Source organism: Homo sapiens, chromosome 16, assembly GCF_000001405.40.
Source record: "Homo sapiens chromosome 16, GRCh38.p14 Primary Assembly".
Classification (NCBI taxonomy): domain Eukaryota; kingdom Metazoa; phylum Chordata; class Mammalia; order Primates; family Hominidae; genus Homo; species Homo sapiens.
In genome coordinates, this window is record NC_000016.10 from 33,294,166 (window position 1) to 33,313,919 (window position 19,754).

The window sequence follows — 19,754 nt, forward strand, 5'->3', positions numbered from 1 at the left end:
TTACTCTTTGTTGTATTACTCATATAACCAAGGAATAACTGGTGGGTATAGGGTCAGGTGCTGAAGGGACATTGTGAGAAGTGACCTAGAAGGCAAGAGGTGAGCCCTCTGTCACACTCACATAAGGGCCGCTTGAGGGCTCCTTGGTCGAGCGGTAATGCCAGTGCCTGGGAAGGCACCTGTTACTTAGCAGACCATGAAAGGGAGTCTCCTTTCCTTGGAGAAGTCAGGGAACACTCTGCTCCACCAGCTTCTTGTGGGAGGCTGGATATTATCCAGGCCTGCCCGTAGTCATCCGGAGGCATAAACCCCTCCTTGTGGTGCTGTGTTTCAGTGGTCACGCTCCTTGTCCACTTTCACGTTCCTCCCATTCTCCTGGTTCCTCTTTGAAGTTCTTAGTAGATAGCGGTAGAAGGAATAGTGAAAGTCTTAAAGTCTTTGATCTTTCTTATAAATGCATAGAAGAAAACACTGATGTATGCTGCCTTCCCTCTCTGCTTTGGCTGCCTAAAAGGGAAGGGCCTCCTGTCCCATGATCACATGACTTGCTTGACTTTATCAATCACCTGGACGACTCACCCTCCTTACCCTGCCCCCTTGTCTTGTATGCAATAAATATCAGCGTGCCCAGCCATTCGGGGCCACTACTGGTCTCTGCGTCTTGGTGGTAGTGGTCCCCCAGGCCCAGCTGTTTTCTCTTTATCAGAAAGCTTACTACATTTGAGGTAGTCCCATTTTCCTGCTTTTTTCTTGTTACTTCTGCTTTTAATGTCATGTTAAAAAAATTATCAAGACAAATGTCATGATTTTTACCTTATATTTTAAGACTTTTATAGCGATCTTACTTACATTTAAGTGTTTAAGATAGTTTTCTATATGGTGCAAGTGAAAAGTCCAATTTTATTTTCTTCCATTTTGATACTCAATTTTAGAACACTATTCTGTTCTTCCCTGTTGTTCGGTCATGGCAGCCTGATTGAAGATTATTTGATGATATTCATAAAGGTTTATTTCTGGGTTCTCTATTCTGTTCCATCATCTATTTGTCTTTCTGTTTGTATTGCTATAGCTTTATAATATATTTTGGAATCAGGAAGTGTGATACCTCTAACTTTGTTCTTCTCCACAGCTACTTTGGCTACTCATTGTCCCTTGAGATTCCATATGAATTTTAAGACTTAATATTTCTGAAAAAAATGTAACATTGGGATTTTGATAGAAAATACTTTGAATTTGTGCTTCACTGTGAGTAGTATTGACATCTTAATAATATTAAATTTTCTGACCCTTGAACAAGAAGTCAAGAGTGTTCTGTTTTAAGTTTCACATATTTTTTCATTTGCCAGTTTCCTTCTGCTTGTGATTTGCAGCTGAGGTCTTTTTACGCTGCCCATGCTGGTCTCCAACTTTTGGGCTTAAGCTATTCTCCCTCCTCAGCCTCCTGATGTGTTTCAATTACATGGATGAGCCACTGCACCTGGCCTCTTTATTGTTTTTCTGATATTTTTAGGATTTGAAGGTAATTTTTGAAAAGATTGATAAATATGTATCTCTTTAGAAAGTTTTTCACTATTAATGTAGTCAAAACCACATAAAATTTACCATCTTAAATATTTTAAGTACATAGTTAAATAATATTAAATATATTCACATTGTTATGCAACATATCTCTAGAATGTTTTTATGTTGCAAAACTAAAATTCAATAGCCATGAAACAACAACTACCCTTTTATCTCCTCCCCTGAGGCTCTGACTGATACTATTCTACTTTCTGTTTCTAAGAGTTTAACTATTTTAGATATTTAACTGGAATCACACAGTGTCCTTTTATGACTCATTTATTTTATTTACATAATGTCCTCCAGATTTATCCTTAGTGTAAAAATAATCAGATCTCCTGCTTTTAAAAAACTGGATAATATTCCATTATTTGTATATTCCAATTTGTCTTTATTCACTGATTCATTGAGGGACATTTGGGTTGCTTCCACCTATCAGCTGTTGTGAATAATGTTGTGCAATGAATATGGATATACAAATAACTCTTCATTTGGCCATATATATGACAGTTTATTTCTGTGCTCTATTCTGTTCCATTTGTCTGTGTGTCTGCCTTTATGTCAGTACTAAATAGTTTGGTTACTGTAATTTTGTAATACATTATAAAGTCAAGGAGTGTGATGCCTCCAATATTATTTCTTTTTTTGAAGGTTGTTTGGCTCCTGAGAGTCACTTTAGATTCCATATAAGTTTTAGAAATGTTTTTTGTATTTCTGCCAAGTGAAATGACAGTTAAAATTTGATAGAGATCTCATTGAATCTGTAGATCATTTTGGGTAGTGTGGACATCTTCACAATATTGTCTTCCAACCCTTGAACGAGAGCATGCAGAAGAGTGCGTTGTTTAATTTCCACATATTTGTAGATTTTCCATATTTCTTCTGCTATTGATTTCTAATTTTATTCCCTTGTAATAAAAAATGATTGTAATATTTTAATCTTTTTTTTGAAACAGAGTTTTGCTCTGTTGCTCAGGCTGGAGCACAGCGGCTCAATCATGGCTAACCAGAGCCTCGATCTCCCAGGCTCAAGCAATCCTCCCCCGTCAGCCTCCTGAGTAGCTGGACGCACAGGCATGTGCCATTATGCCCAGCTAATTTTTAAATTTTATATTTTCTAAAGAGAGGGTCTCTTTATGTTGCCCAGGCTGGCGCCGAACTCCTAAACTCACTAATCCTCCCACCTCAGCCTCCCAAAATGCTGGAATTATAAGAATGAGCCACAATGCCTAGCCCATATTTTAACATTTTAAAATTTGGTAAAACTTGTTTTGTGTCCTAGTAGGTTATCTACTCAGGAGAATGTTTCATGACCTATTGGAAAAAGTGTGTATTCTGATATTGTTGTGTGAAGTGTTTTTTTTTTTCTTTTTTTTCACTTCTATTTGTAGCCTACACAGACCTATTGGACTGAACAAAGCAGGGTGAATGCAGGAATAAAAGACAAGAGACAAAGGGGTATATTTGGAAAAAGGGGTCAGGGGCACCTTGCCTCTAGTGGACAAGGTACCTGAGCTTTACACAGCCCTCCATATTTATTAGGTAAAAGAGATAGTGAGAAGGCGGGGGTGGTTTTCCACCAGCAGCTTGATTCACAGCTGACTCGAGAGACTGCATTCTTAGAACAATAGGCACTGGATTTCTCAGTAGATAACTTCAAGGAGCCTGGTGCCAGGGAATGAGGCCCTCAGCAAACCTTTTGGTGGCAGGGCAGTGTGAGTTTGCCCACATCCTGCATTCATGATAAACAGTTTGCTGTTTGATCATATAGCCTCCAGTGGAATGCTGAGTTGGTCATGTCCCATGGGCCTTCAGCTTCCTGAATCTATTCACTGTGATGAGTGTTTTCTATATGTCTGTTCGGTTTACAGAGTTTGCTACTGATAGTCGGATAATTATGTCTCTTACTATTTTTGCATAGCTATTTCTTTCTTCATCTGGGTCGATCTTAGCTTTATACATTTGGAAACCCCGATGTGAAGTGTACATATATTTATTATTAACACAGCTTCCCCAGTGAATCAACACTTGTATCATTATATACTATCTTTATTTGTCCTTTAATTCAGTTTTGACTTAATGTGTATTTTGCATAATTATGACCCCTCTTGCTCTCATTTGATTGCAATCTTCCTAGAAGATATTTTTCATACTTGCACTTTTAGCCTATCTGTGTGCTTAGATCTAAAGTGAGTTTCTTATAGACAGCAGAAAACAAATCGTTTTTTCTTTCAATCTCTTTAGCCAATTTACACATTTCTGTTGGAAATTTTACTCTATGTATATATTCATTTTAATTGTGAAAAGAATGGACTACTTCCATTTTGTTAATAGTTCTATTTGTTTCTTGTAGGTATTTTCTCCTCTTTTCTGCTCTTACTGCCTTCCTTTTTATTTAATTGATTTTTATAGTGACATATTTCTATTTAATTTGCCAAGGCCAAGTTGCAAGATAAAAAGTTTGCCTTTAATCTAGTCTCTCCACATCAGATCAAGCCTATGGACAGATCTAAAAACATGAGGTTTCCCTCTTCTGGGGCCCCACTTTTTGGACTGCTGTATGATCTCTGGAGGTTTGATGAGTCCACACCAAGCAAAAGTGGACAGCAGTGTTCCACCTGTGAACACTTGTTTCTTGTAGGCCCTACTGTCTCTCAGGGCACCACCTCTCTTATCCTTTAAACAGGAGTGATATTGGCAGAGAAGGGGCATTCACTCCTATCTGGCAGAAAAGGAGGATTCAGGCCCTTTAACCTCCCTAAGGTCAGAAAAGTCAGAGCCCTCAGAGATGCACTTGCAATGTGGCAGCCACTGGGCACAGGGGCTACTGAACAACTGTATTGTGCCCAGCATGAACTAAGATATGCTGGGGAGAAATACAAGAAAATATTTAAATATTTAGTTACATATACATATGTGCATAAAAATATATAATGCTGGGTTAAAGAAACATATGTCTATGTGTGTGTACGTATATATGTACACATATATATGTTTCTTTAATTATTTCATTCTGATTATATGTTAAAATATTTCAGATATATTGAGCTATGTTGTTAACATCAATTTCACTCATTTTTCTTTTTCTTTATGCTGCTACTAGCAAATTCTAATTGTCACATGTGGCTCACATTTTACTTCTATTGCACATTGGTGCAATAGAGGATTGCCTAATTTCAAAGCTCAGTTTGCCTCAAAAGCCAAGAGGCCAGAAAGATTGTAAAATCTAAAAATTAAAAATAATTGTAATTGGTTGGGCATGGTGGCTCATGCCTGTTATGCTAGCACTTTGGGAGGCCGAGGCAGGCGGATCACTTGACCTCGGTTCGAAACCAGCCTGGTCAACATGGTGAAACCATGTCTCTACTAAAACTACAAAAATTAGCTGGGCAACATGGTGGGTGCCTGTATCCCAGCTACCTGGGAGGGTGAGGCAGAAGAATCACTTGAACCTGGCAGGCGGAGGTTGCAGTGAGCCAATATCTCATCACTGTACTCGAGCCTGGGTGACAGAGTGAGACTCTGTCTCAAAAAAATGTAAATAAAAATAAAAATAATTGTTATTATTTTGTTTCTATTTTGAATAATACACACACACACCCCTCCCCCTTCACACACACACAAATAAGGCAGAGAAAGAAAGAGAGAATCTTGTTCTGTCACCCAGGCTGCAGTGCAGTGGCCTGATCTCAGCTCACTGCAGCCTCTACCTCCCAGGCTTAAGTGACCCTCCCACCTCTGCCTCCCAAGTAGCTGGGACCACAGACACGTGTGACCATGCCTGGCTAATTTTTTCATTTTTTTGTAGAAAAGTTTTGATGTGGGGCCCTCACATTCTGTTGCCCAGGCTGGTCCCAAACGCCTGGATTCAAGAGCTTCTGTCCCCTCAGCCTACCAAAGTGCTGGTATTAAAGGTGAGATCCACTATGCCTGGCCACATATATACAACTTATAAATAAAAATAACCTTATATACAAGGTTAAATGCAAATATCCCACAGTGAAGGCCGGGCTTCAGCATAAGGAGGAAGTCCTGCCTGAAAAAGGCTGCGGCTTGGAACATTTTACCCTGTTGTCATCTGGCTACGAGTTGGCTCACATCTTCTCTCATTCAGAACCTGAAGGGGTGGGGCCTGGGGCCGTATTATCCAATCACTAGTGCTGGGGTAAAAACTGTCTTAAAACTATTCTTTTAATGCTTAGCAATACTAATTTTTAGTGAGAAACTTAAGATTACTTAATTTAACATAACCAGACTTTAAGATTTTAAATTACTAAAAAAAAAAAAAAGAAACTTAAAATGATGACAGAGTTACTTCCTCTAATGTTTTTTGGTGAGGGTTTCAAATACCTATGTCATATATTGAAACCTACAGTTCTATAAGCCCTACCCTTAAATCAAAACAACCCTGATGCTATTGTGAACAGGTACTTAGCACAAATCCTACCCTTAGGCAAATTTATATAGTGATTTCAATTGTCCTTCACATTCCCTTTCCTGTGATAAGTGTCTGGGTTTAGGGGGTCACAGTGTGAGGTTCCACCATCTTCAGCTATCTGAGACATAGCTTCTATTAATAAATGTTCCTCTTAAATGTTTCTTTCTGAGAAACTTGATTTGTCAGCCTCATTCTTCAAACTCTCAGCTCCTTTGGCCTTTAAAGGTAGGTTTATATATATATATATACTCACAAGAAAACACCCTCATATATATAGTCTGTCAATTTCTCAAACATTGTTATGTGGTTCATGACTGTAATGTGTGCCACATGTAGTTTTGTACATGAATAGTATATTTTTTATAGCTACTTTCTATTACACATCACTAAAATACATGTTCAGTAAGTGCTCACTTAACATCATTGATAGGTCCCTGGAAACTGACTTTAAGTGAAACAAAATACTATATGCCATGGAAAATTAACTCTTGTTTATATCAATTAGCCAATGGTAAAATTGGTTTTATTATATAGTACATTGTTTTACTTAAAGTCACAGTTTCTGAGAATCTATCAAAAAAGGGAGAACATACTGTCATTAGTATTACAGTATATGGTACATTATAGCATTACACTATTATAGTATGTTATTGTAGTCTTAGCAATTGGTAGTATAATGTGTTTCAGTTTCTCCCAAGGTCACAGAATTATCCAGACCAACCAATAACAACTTCCTGTGGGAACCAGGTGCATCTCACCCTCTTGATACTACAAAGCCTTCCCCAACACCCCCTGTTTGTTCTCTCTGCTCCCAAGTGCAATCCCTGTGTGGGTCTGTATACCTTATATAATTTCCTTCTTCCATGATTATATGTAACGAATAACTGCTGTCAATCTCATTTGTCCAATGATTGGTGCCATGGTTTTAACTGTTCCAGTAGTACAAGGGTGGTAATTTATCCCTCACCAATGGGGTAAAGGGGAGGCTAATCAAACAATTCACAATACAAACTGGATTAACCAACTATGACTAAGGACATCGGCTCAACTTTAACTGCTTTTGGCCTACTGATTTCATGATACATTAAAAGTCACCTCAGTCAGAGCCACCAGTTTCTGGTGGGCTTTTGCTTTGGTCTAAATAGCCATTTGTGGCCTTTATCATGAGTTGCCTTCCCTGACCACATTAAAGCACACTCATCACCTAGACATATATGGTCAGTTGACTCTGCTGCAGCCTGATGTGTCATCATATTTAGCCTTTGTTTGGCATGCAGCTTGCAAGACACTTGCCTTTCAAGGCAGTGAAAACACAGAACCTTAATCAGTGAGTACTTCAGTCCTGATTACCAAGAGTCAGGCTATATCCCTGTGGTCACTTCATCTGGTCTGCTTACCATTACTAAATGCCCGGGTAGTCATATGAACATTGCTTATTATTGCACACTCTCAGGAAAGGCCCAGGGACGGTTTTTTGTAAAATTGCAAAAAACAAAAAGGACTTTTACTTTGGAGAGAATTATGCACGTCACTCAGTTGCTCTAACAAGTGCTACCGTCATGGGAGCAAGAACAGTGACCTTGTCTTTCCTGAGCTGCCGCTTCCTTTGCTCCTGTCACATGCACTCTCACGATGAGGGGCTCATTCCTTGTGCCTTATGGTTCAGGCACTGATGAGAAATAAAAAAGAGAAAGATAACTTAATATTAGTCCCTCCCAAAACTTACTGGGTAATTCTCTCATCCTAAATCCCCTACTCATCGTGTAGGCTTTTAGCACTGCTGCTTACCAGTATGCTAAAGGTGCAGACTTAGGATCAGAAGTTTGATGAACTCAAACAAAAAGACCACAATGCATATGGGTGCTAATCCCAGTGAAATGGAGTGGCAGTAAACACCTTCAACCAAAGAGAAAACAGATCACAAATAAACAAATAATGACACAACTCAAGAAACTAGAGGAGGAAGAACTTATCCCAACGTTCCCAGATAATAAAATTAGTAAAAAAAATCGGAGCAGAAATGAATACACTGAAGATTAGAAAAACAATAGAAAATGTAGAAAAATTGTAAGAGCTTGTTTTATGAAAACATGAAGTTGGCATATCTTTAGCTAGACTAAGAAATAAATGCTTAAATAAATAAAATCAGAATTAAAGGGAATACATTACAACTGGTAAAACAGAAATAAAAAAAGGTCATAAGACTGCTATGTACACAGACTCCTATGTACAATGATATCCCACCAAATGGGATAAGGGAGAAGACATGAATACATTTCTAGACAAGTACCACCCACCAAGACTGAAGCATAAAGAAATAGAAAATATGAATAGATCAGTAATGGGTAAGGAGTTTAGATCTGATGACTTTGTTGCTGAATTTTACTAAACATTTAAAAAGAACCAAATCTTTGAAAAAATTGAAGGAGGAGGAATACTTCCAAACTCATTTTATGAAGCCAGCATTACACTGATACAAAAACCAGAGATGGACATTACAAGAAAAACAATTACAGGCCAATATCCCTGATGAACATAGATGAAAAATCATCCGCAACGTAGTTGCAAATGAAATTCAAAAGCACTTTAAAAGGATCATTTATTATGATCAAGTTGGATTTATTCCTGGGATGCAATAATATTTTAATATGTGGAAATCAATAAATGCCATACTCCTTATTTACACAACAAAAAGATTAAAAATCATGACTTTTTTATGCATGCCTAAAATTATTTTGACAAAATTTAAAATCCATTCCAAATAAAATCTATAACAAATTAGGTATAGAAAGAATATACCTCAAAATAAAGAGATATGTTCTTTATAAGCTATAGGACAATCCCATGGTTAACATTATTGTCAATGGTGAAATTTTGGAATTGTTTTTAAGATTTATTATAAGAAAAAGATGCCCACTCTCACTACTTCTTTCAACACCGTATTGGAAATCCTGCTCAGAATCTAAGACAAGAGAAAAAAGAGCATTTAAATAAGAAACAACAAGTTCTTCTATTCATGGAGATTAACGCTCAGGTTTTTGCAGATTAGATTTAACAGCATGAAATCTGTACCATCCAGGAATCAAAGGATATAGGACTTTAGGGCATCAATTATTAAGAGGCTATAGGAAAGCAGAAATGCTCCTGGATGTTTCCATTGTCCACACACAAAATTTCAACAGACCAGCCCCAGGAAGTAAAGGCACATTCCTGACTACTGTTAGTTGATGAGCTTTTCACCAAAAGCAGAGATGTGAGACCTGGCAGGTTTCAAAGACCCCTCAAGTGCTCCATACCTTGAAATTCACTTCCACAAAGCTAGAACACCATCTGTTCCTGAGGGATCAGGTTATCGTCTGTTTCTTTTAGGCACTGGCCAGTCAGGCTTTAGTGGACACGAAGCCACAGATTTTTAGTGTAAAATGCCTAATCTATCATAATCTTTAGGTAGATATTTGGAGGCCTGCACACTTAAATGGGTTGGTGAAATGTCATACCAGACACATGGCTGGGAATTGGGTTTTTCTCCTCCGCTCTTAGCAGCACCTTTGTAACCCAGTGATTACCCCCCTCATGGCTCCACGGCCACATCCGCAAAAAGGGTACTGGTGAACGTGACATTTTCACGAAGCCACAGCCCATGGTCACTCCCTGCAAAGCTCTGAACTTGCGCATTCCCAGGCCAGGCCGTGGTTGTCTTTCCAAGGCGGCTCAGCTTGTGCTTTGCTTGGAGAGAGCGGAGGGCAGCAGCACAGTGACAGCGTCTGGGACCTCAGACCAGTTTCCACAGCCACTTATGAAAGCAGACGGCTCCATGGGCTGGAGGAGGTGGGACGCTCTGGAAAGAACTCGGGTGCGAGTGGGAAAGAAAATCGAGCTGAGCAGCTGGAAGTCGAAGTCGCGTGAGTGAGGACCAGACACTCTCGATTTAGGCAAAGGCGGGGTGCACTTCCCAACAACACATCCTCCTCACTGGCGAGACCAGGCCTGCCCTTCAAGTTCCTCTCCTGATTTAATCCCCTTGGCGAGGGTTTGGCATGAAATCAATGGCCAGCAAGCTTGGTAAACGAAGCCGCCTACACCGCCCTCCCCCTCCCTGCACGGCCGCGCCCCGCCTCCGCTCCTGTCTCAATCTGGGATTGTCCTCCTGTAGCCCCACCATCCACCGTGGGGAACGGTGGAGAGACTACAACTCCCAGTATGCACCGCGATGCGCGCCTCACCCTGCATCTCCCAGCCCGCAGCCAGCTGGCATCCTAGACCCTCTGCCCTGCGACCAACAGCCGGGAGCGGACCAGACACCAGAACTCCCGGAACGGTTGAAGACGGTTCCGCTCCCTGTCCCGCCTTTCGCAGCCCAGCAGTTTCGCCCTGCGGAGAGGAGCCTTGCTGTTTCCAAATCTCTCCTGCTGAAGAGACATTGGAGCTAGGGCGGCTAGTTTCACCTGGTAATTGTGACACCCTGTCTCCTCGAGCTGCAGGCTTTTATGCTTGTCATGTTCGAAGTTTGATACCTTGCAGATCAACAAAGGGCCGGTGGCCTCTCACTGCCTCCGCGGCAGGGTTGTCAAGGTAACGCTCCTCAGACAAGGGTGGGGCGCGACCCGCCCCTTTTCTCACCCCGCCTCCTCCTCAGCCCCACCCTCCTTCGCTCCTCCTCTTGTCACTCCCTTTCAGACATGCGCAGTGCGGCCCGTCCCTAGGGCTGGGTTAAGGGCCGCGGATGTGGCAGTTCTCAGGCCTCTTGGGATCGCCTCAAGAAGCCCCCTCACGAGTGTCTCGATTTCCTGTCAGCCAACAAAGGGCCGTTCGCCTTTCATGGCCTCCACAGCAGCGTTGCCGTGGTAACGATCCTCCGCCGGACGTTGGCCGCACCGCGCCCCTATTCTTGCCCATCTCCCGCTCCGCCCCGTCCCTTCTCGCTCCTCCCTCTTGTCACACCCGTTCAGACATGGGTAGTGTAGCCCGTCCCTAGCGGCGGGATAAAAGTCCTGCCCTTTCACACATGCGCAGTGCACCCATTCCTAGGGGTGGGGCTAAGGGGCCTGCCCTTTCGGAAATGCGCAGTGCAGCCCGTCCCTAGGTGTAGGGTAATGGCGGCCGACCTGGAGGCTCCTTGGGATCCCCTCGAGAAGCCCGTTCATGAGTGTCTGAAACTGTCACTTGACTGCCAGAAGTGAAAACATCGTGTCCCTAGTCACCTGCCATTTGCCTTTTCAAAACCATTTCCTCTGTTCTCTAGGCTGTCACAAATCCTCTGCACCCCAGGAGCGCCGCTTGGACCCCCGGGCTCGCTGCGTGGTCCATATCTAGGTCGGGCCTCTCACGGAGACTTTCCCACCAGTGTAATAAAGAGGAGAAAACGTCACAGCGGAAGGGCCTGACCCTGCTGCATCCACTAAGGAAACAGCTACGGGGATGGGACCCTGGGAGCTGCTGTGGAGCCTCATCCACCGCTTCTCTGACCCCACCCAGGCTGCTTCCCAGGCCTCAGGGTCTTAGTGTGGACCTCCGGGCCGTGATTAATGCAGGTCAGCAGGACCAGAGCGCCCCTTGGTCCCTCCCAACACATGAGGGTAGTTTGTGTGGTGAGGTCAGGGATAGTGTCTGCGCTTCTACCCTGAATAGGGCTCCCTTGGAAAATACTTTAATATCTCTTTTTAAATACCCCCTTGGACCACTTTTAATAGTTTTCTGATAGAACTAAACAGTGATCATTCTCTTAATTCATGTTTCCATTAAGTTTTTCAGGTTAAGTACTGCACGACTACTCGCTTCTGAAACTGATAGACACTGCCTCAGCTCCGTGCAGGGCAGACGCACAAGAGCAGAATCTCCGTGGGACATCTCTCTGGAGCATCAATATTACTGCAGTATTTGGAAGAAACAAATTTAAATAAGTTCTAAGGTGAAGAATGGAACATTTAAGACAAGTCTGGAAAGTCATCTGCCTTTAATAACTGTCGTTTGTCCTTAACGTCAGACTTTCTCCAAGACCAAAACTCTAAGAACTTATTTCCATTCTTACAAATAGTAAAAATGATAAATCATATCAAGTCAATTGAAAGTCCTGCCTGCTGCTTTCCTAAATTGCAATATGGCCTTGGTATGGTTTTATTTGTACTTTTGTGGGGGATTCGTGGATCTTTAGATTAAAAAAAAAAAAATAGGTTTTTGAACAATTTTTGCAAGTTTGCAGCTGTTAGTTATTGATTTATTTTTCCAACCCATCTAATTCTTCTGTCTCTCTCCTCAGGCTCAATAATTCCATGGGTCTCTAAGGCTGTGTTTATTTTCTTTAAATTTTGTTGATTTACTTTTATACTCCATTTGATTTTTTCTATCTCTCACCTTTTCTCAGACTCAGTCATCCCACAGGTCTGTAAGGCTCTGTTCATTTTCTTTAAACTTCTTTTTTTTTTCCTCTCCTCAGATTGGATAAATTATATTGCTATGTCTCTGTTTCTGAACTATAGAAAAGCTCAAAATTATTATTTTTATTTCTCATTTTTTATATGGCTATTTTTTCTCTGCTGATGTTTCACATCTATTCATTTATGAGAATATTTTCCTTTGCCCTCATGAGCGTGTTTATAATAGCTGCCTTCAAATTCTTGTCTGCCGTTTACATCTTGGACATCTTGGAGATGGCTACTGCCTGCTTTTTATCTTGTGTATTTATTACATTTTCACGTGTCTTCACGCATCCCTTGAATTGGAAATTGTGCCCTGGAGACTGTATACAAGACTGGATTAAAAAGACTGGATTCTGTTTTGTCCCTGTGAAGAGTGTTGTTTTTAAAAGATGGTGTTAAATGGGCTGGATTCTATCTTCAATACTTATCTCTCCTATGGAAGTCATAGCCAAAATATGCATTCAGTTTTTATATACACATATTTCATGTATGTATTGTATATAGAAATGTTTCTATAATGATATATAATAATTTACCCAGGATTCATCATTTTTCTGTGTGAGAGTGTTAGTTCAGTTAGCTACTTCATCATTAGTGGAAGCCAGAACCTCAGTTTTGATTTTTGAGTGTAATATAAAAAATTACACAGTATGGATACTTTTACATCAATTTTTTAATGCAATATTATATTTGTGATATTTATGCTGTTACAGATATCTACAGTTTGTTCATTTAAAAAAGTCCTTTTTTACATTGTGGTAAAATATACATAAAATTAACCATTTTAACAATTTTTAAAAGTGCAGGACAGAGGAATTAATCATACTCACATTGTTCTACAACCATCATCCACATTCATAGGGAAATTTGTTCATTTTGCAAAACTCAAACTCTGTTCCCGTTACCTTCCTTTTGGCCTCTAGGAACTACTCTTCTACTTTGAGTTTCTATGAATGGAACTACTGTAAGTACCTCATATGAGTGGAATCATACAATGTAGTAAAGAAGTCACGAGGAAGAATAATACACACTGTATAACATGCTTATTAATTTAAATAAACAGAGATCAGTAGTACATGGTGATTATAGAGAAAGACAGATAAAAAAGAAAAAGCAGTTAGAAGGGTGTGTAAAATTTATCACTATGGTGTCTCAAGTTTTAGAGCAGTGAGGCCCCGGCCCCAGACACATTACTGGTCATGGTGAAGCTGGGAGCCCAGTGCAGCTGTCTGACTCCCAAAGCCAACACTCAGGCCAAATGTCACTGAGCCCTGAGGCACTCTGCCCCTGCCAGCCCAGGCACTCAATGGCCCTGAGATTCACCATGGCCTGTTCTTGGTCTTGAGGGTGTTGCTGGCCTGCTGGAATAGGGGCCCGTCTGACAAAACAAGTAGGAGGAGCTTCAGAAAATAGTGGCAGCTGTGAGGCTACCAGGAGCCACACCTCAGGCTTCCCACTGCCTGCCCAGGGTCCCCATGCAGCAGGCCTAATGTTGACCAGGGAGCTATGGCCCCAGGTTCTCTGAAGCTGGCCACAAGATAGAGTCTTCTCCTAGTCTTTGCTAATCTGCTAGGCCCTCATCTTTTATTCTGACTGTGCAGCTTCATGCACTGGAACCAAACCCCAAATTCCTCCTCAGTCAGAAGATGACGATTATCTCTTGTCACTGAAGCAGCTGCATTTCCTGGAGGACTTTGATCTGGAGACAGAAGGAAGGGCAGGATTCTGACAGGTCCTGGGTGGAAGATGACAAAGGGAACTTGTGGGGGTGTGAAGGGGTAGGGACAATTTCTAGGGCCTTTCTTTTAAGGGGTCCTACCCTCCCCTCCAATCCCATGTAGCCCCAACCTGTTCTCAAGAGTTGGATATAAACAGTCCCTCCTCTAGGAGTTTATCATTGATTCTATTCCCCTAATCAAACCCTCCATTGGGATGGGGCTCCTGCTTCTCTGTGTATCAAACCTTCCCAATAAATCTAAGATGCAGAGGATGGAGCCAAGGAGTGTCTTCCTCAGGGTGGTGTCTGACTTTCACATCCCCACCCTCCCTCAAAGCGACAGCGCCAGCTGCTCACCTTCTTCCTTTATTAGTGTTGATTATATGTTCTTAGGAGGTAGACAGCCAAGATTCATGAGAAAGGCTTCCTGACACAGGACTAGACCTCATCCCTTATACTTCCTATGCTGCACCACCACCAGGGCCACCAGGGTCAGAGCATGTGCATAAAACAGGACTTAGACCTGCATCAGGTTCTGGGCTCCACAGAAGGGACACTGAGGCTCAGTGACCTTTCTCCCTGATTCTCTGTGATGATAGGGAGACAAAGGCCTTGGAAACAAAGAAGTTACTCAACAATTTAGGACCTGCCTGTCTTAGGAGGGGCCCAATTTCTCTCTTCTGCAATGGGTACCAGCTAAGGCAGAGGCTGAGACTTAGCTCTGCAGCTTTACTACTCAAGGAACAGGAAATGGTGTCTTTGCTGGAGGCTCCGTCACTCATAGATAAGACGGAACTGACACTGCCATTTACAGGGGCATCTGGTAGGCTCTCAGGAAAGGGGTTTGCTGAGTGCTGCAGTCTCAGGATTCAGTCCAGGACTCTGTCCTCGCAAGCTTCAGGATCCTGGTCCCCACCCTGCCTGCCTGCCCCAGTCTCACTCACATCTCTATAATCCTCTATGGCAATTTCCAGCATCTGCAGGTTGTTGAGAAGTGTGCCCGGGGTGGGGGGTGGGGGGGGAGGGGAGTGGGGGCACAGCAGCCTGTGTTATCAAGGTGGTAGCAGTGATGAGCACCAATTCTCAGCTAACTGCACAAGACCTCTCCTTTGAACTCTCACCAACCTATTTCTCCTTGACCCCCGTACCCAAGTCTCTCACTCAGAGCATCCAAGGACCTTTCACCTCCTTGCCCAAAATCTTTCCCTCCTCTTTCCACAGCTGACCTCCAAAGACGCTAAGCACTTCTTAGTTACCTCTATGGTGTGATTTTAATAAATCACAAAGTCAGATCGTCCCCACCCTCACTCTTCGTCTAATCTACTCTGAGCCTAGCTCTCCCAGGCCCTTTCTCTAGTCTCTCTAATGAAGGCATTCCAAGCATTGTGGCCACAGGAGGGCAGGGCTGGAGGAGGAAGACACCCAGGTCTCTTGATGTGGAGAACTCCAGCTGGGAGGGAGGAGCCCTGTCCTTGACTCTCTGGAGCCCCTCCCTACCATAGGCCAATTCACCTGCTGCTGCAGCCCCATCTGGACTCTTTAAAAAGGTTCCTACCTAGTAGAGTCAGAAACAGGGTCAGTGAGACTGTGCCTGTCTCACAGTTACACTCCAGCCCCAGCGACCTCAGATCTTGGATAACTGCCTGAGTCAGCCGGTGTAATGCTCCCACCAGCTCCAGTGAGTCCTGATTCTAGATTTACTCCCAGCTTTAACACTCACTGTGTGTGTAACCTTGGGCATGCAGCCAGGCCTTCCTGAAACTGTTTTTTCATCTAGGAAGTGTGATGAGAACAACACCTTCCTCACAGTACCTCCTGAGGACTCAGTTGCATGTGGCTATCACCATTGTTCTCACCATCATCCCTCTCAGGAAGAGGTGGGCACAAGAATTCTGAAGTTTCCTTCATCCTTTGCCCCTTATCATGACCCTGTGAGGCCTGCACAACAGGCTTTCTGCATTTTCCAGTTGAGGAGACAGGCCCAAAGAGGGTGTTGACTTGCCCAGGAGCCCACAGGAGAGGCTGTCTTCTCCTCCCACCTGAAGAGTCTGCCCTACCTGGCTTCACACCACACACCAGCACCATCACTGACCAGGGTCCCATCCTCTGGACTCTGGGATAGATGTTCACATCCCAATCCAGGCCCAGCTGTGGTGGAAAGAAACCTGGTATCTTGGGAGGCCTGGTTGAGCAGTGCCAGCTTGTCCCAGCTTCACTGGAATTGCTATCCCACAAATTGGGTTTGAGGCTATGAAGAAGACTTCACCTCTTCGATGATCCACCGAGAGAGATTCCCACACAGAGCTCTCTCTTTATCCACTCCCTGCAGTTGGCCTGCCAGTGAAATCACACCTGTGCAGTAGTCAGGCCTCCTGGCCCACCCGCCAGCTGCCAGCCTCCAGTGTCTCTGATACCCATGGGTAATCATGCCTTCCTTGGCAAGGCTGCTGAGATTCAGAAGGACCTAAACAGATCTTTGGCTCAGATGGGTTGCTTCAGCCTTGTGTCCTTGGCCATCTTCCCTTGCCTTCCGAAGGTCCCTGCCAGCCTCACTGTACCAAGCCCTGACCCTAGCGGTCTCTCCGTGGGGACCACATCTCACCCACCCTCCATTGCCAGGGCTCCTGCTCAGCTCTTCTCACTTTCCCAGGACAAGCCTGGCTTCACAGACACATCTAGATCCAGCGCTTTTCTCTTTGTGGTGTTCAAAGAAAGAGTATTATTTTTTTCTCTAAATTGACCTATAACCTACTTATTTTGAAGATGTCCAGGCTGCAGGAGATCTCTACCCATCTACCCAGAAGGCATCAGCCCTTGCTTCAGTACCTTCTCATTCCACTCTGTCACTAAATGTTTATGACCTCAAGAAAATTTGAAGAAGCATAAGCAAGTGCAATTCCATTGGTACCAGGGCTGTAAGGGCGGGGCCAGATGGGTGAACCTCACTGGGGATAAATAGAAATTGTGTACAAGATGGACATTTCAAGGTTGGTTTCAAGAAACGCAGGGAAAACTAACTTTCATAGGTGACAGTATGCACAAGTTAAGCTTCCTAACAGCCACAAGTTCACAGGTTCTTCTATCTAAATGTGGCAATGTGTGACGATGTCTGAATGGCCATAATACACATACATAGAGTAATTTATAGCATTCATTTTTGTATTAGAAATTGTGCATTTCAGCCACAAGTTTTTTATACATGATGGATAGTCCCACATTGCTTGAAGATTGGAAGAGAGAGCACTTTATGAAATGTCCTTTTGGACACATTTTCATTGACGTTTCTATGTCCCAAGAGGCAATGAGACAAGTCATGATAAACTGGCCGTGTCTTCTGGGGTTACACCTGAACTTCTTGGTGTCAGGACCGAGGAAACCAAGGACACAGATATGCCAAAGGTGAGGTTAGAGCAAAAGTTTAATGGGTGAGAAAAAGAGAACAGCTCTCTGCTGCAGAGAGGGATCCAGAAAAAAAGAGTTGCCATTCTGCAGTGAAATACAAGTGTTTTTATAGATGAGCTAGTGGGAGGGGGTATGTTATCCACATAGGGCATGAAAAAGTGGTTAGGACCAGGTGTGTCATCTGCTTAGAGCATGAATCTCTGGCAGCTCACACCCCAACCTTTTATTATGCAGGCAGATTCTCAGCCTGAGCTACTCCAAGTTGCTTATCTCTTTTCTACTGTGCATATGCTACAAAGAGGGGTGGGGCCCCCCATGTTGGATATGTCTGGCCCAAGGTGGTCATTTCTACCCATGCAGCTGCAGGCATCCCTGCCCACACAAGCTTCCAGCTTCCTTTTGTATGATTGCAGCCCAATTTTCCAGGCTGCTCTTTGTTAAAGAGAAGTGAATTCCTGGGTTGCTTTCTGTTAGAAGGGACGTTCTGTTGAGAACTCTTTGCTCTATCTGCCTAGCTAGTTTCTTTCTACATCTGCTCTCAATGACAATTATTCAGTTTTAATGGGGTCCTGGGGGTGGGAACAGATAAATTTGAGACCACAAAGTACCTTAGAATAAGAATTCACCCTTTAGTCAGCTTTAGTGTGAGTTGCACATCTATTATAATATTGGCTTCATGCACTACTGAATATAACAAGAAGGGAAAATGTGTATCTTTTAAAAATCTAGATGACAAATGGACTTTCCACAGATTCTTTGTGTGTTCCTGATTTAGAACTTGTTCATTCCACTGTAGTTTGTTTTCATTGAAATCACCAACTGATGAGGAAGCCTAGGCTGGCAAGCAGGACACGGTGGATTATTTGCAGGAAAGGTGTTTTTGTGGGGACCCTAAAGGGTCAGGCACTGCAGCCCACAGGAAAGCCTCAGCCATGATTCTCTGTGGCGTTGCCCTGGTGGGGTAAGGCAGCCATGCAAAGCTCTGATTCCCTGTCCTGAAGGGTGACATTGGCCGGGCAAGCCCCAGCCTTCAGGAAAAAAGGACAGACAAGGGAGTGCTTCACGTTCCGGCCTTGTTCCGGCCTTGTCATGAGCTCCACCGGCAGCCTGCAGTGGGGCACAGCTTCTAGGTGCCTGGTCAGCTCTGGTCCTTCAGGAGGTGAAAATGACTTTTCTCCTGGATTCTCTGCCCTGTTGGCTGGGCCTGGGAAGGACTCAAGGTCTGCATGGCAGTTTCTGAGTCTCCAGCACCCAGCTGTCTCATTGTGATGATGACAGGGAGAATGGCCAGAAGTACCGGGGTGGGGAAAACGAAGAGCCAGCAGGAGAAGGCGAGCTTCCAGAAAGCCCCACCACAAATGCTTAGTGCCTGGGTAGGCACAGGGATTGCTGGGTTTTGCCTGGGAGCAAGTCCATAGGCCCTGCTGGAGATTGCCAAGATAACCACCCCCTGCCAGAGGTCACCAGGGATTGCCTGAAAACCTTCGGAAATGGTGCATGCCCCTATTGCTCAAAAACTGGAAGAAGCTGCAGCCTCAGCAGGTTATCCAGGCCACTGAGTGGGGCAGCGGGCCTACACTGAGTGCACTCCTACATTGGCAGTAGGCAGCTCTCCTGACCCATCCACCAGCTGTCTGCCTCCAGTGAGCAAGATCTTCAAGGCTGATCAGACCTCCAGTTGGCAGGGCTGATGAGATTCAGTGCGACCTGGTCAGATCTTTGGCCCAGATGAGTCACTTGAGTTTCAGTGTCCTGGACCAACTTTCCTGGACTTCAGAGGGCCCCTGCCAGCCTGAGTGAGCCAGGCTTGGCTGCATCTTCCTGGGAGCCCCATCTCACCTGCCCTCCATCCCCAGGGCTCCTGCTCAGCACTTCTTACTTTCCCAGGACAAGCCTGGCTCCAACAGACATCTCTAGATGCTGTGTTTCTCTTTGTGGTGAGCAAAGAAACAGAATGAGTTCCATTTTTTAATTTTTTTCTAATTTTACCTATAACTTATTTATTGTAAAAAGGTTTGGGCTGCAGGAGACCTGACCCACCCACGCAGGAGGCCTCAGTAGCCTCCCAATCCACCCTGTTACTAAATATTTCCACTCCTAACAATATAGGGGGAAGCAGGAGCAAGTGCAGTTTCACTGCACCAGTGCTGTGAGGATGGGGCCAGAAGGGTCCTGCCCAGTAGGATTCAATAGGAATTATATAGAAATAAACATCTCAATG

General features: G+C 43.6%; 1 protein-coding gene across 7 annotated transcripts; it reads left to right on the forward strand.

Moving 5' to 3' along the window:
• Positions 1 to 8,424: 8,424 nt before the first annotated feature.
• On the forward strand, positions 8,425 to 12,780 carry TP53TG3E (TP53 target 3 family member E). 7 transcript variants are annotated; one of them, NR_158195.2, is made up of 4 exons: positions 10,141 to 10,570; positions 10,676 to 10,842; positions 11,241 to 11,529; positions 11,742 to 12,780. NR_158195.2 is itself a non-coding variant. In XM_011546032.2 (3 exons), the coding sequence occupies exons 1-2, from the start codon at positions 10,209 to 10,211 to the stop codon at positions 10,710 to 10,712; spliced, it is 399 nt and encodes a 132-aa protein (XP_011544334.1). In that variant the 5' UTR covers positions 10,141 to 10,208; the 3' UTR covers positions 10,713 to 10,842; positions 11,750 to 12,780. The 7 variants fall into 7 exon arrangements, 4 of the variants coding, with proteins under 4 accessions (XP_047289458.1, XP_011544334.1, XP_016879440.1 ...); NR_158197.2 differs by having other exon boundaries at positions 11,750 to 12,780; NR_158196.2 differs by lacking the exon at positions 10,676 to 10,842.
• Positions 12,781 to 19,754: the final 6,974 nt, after the last annotated feature.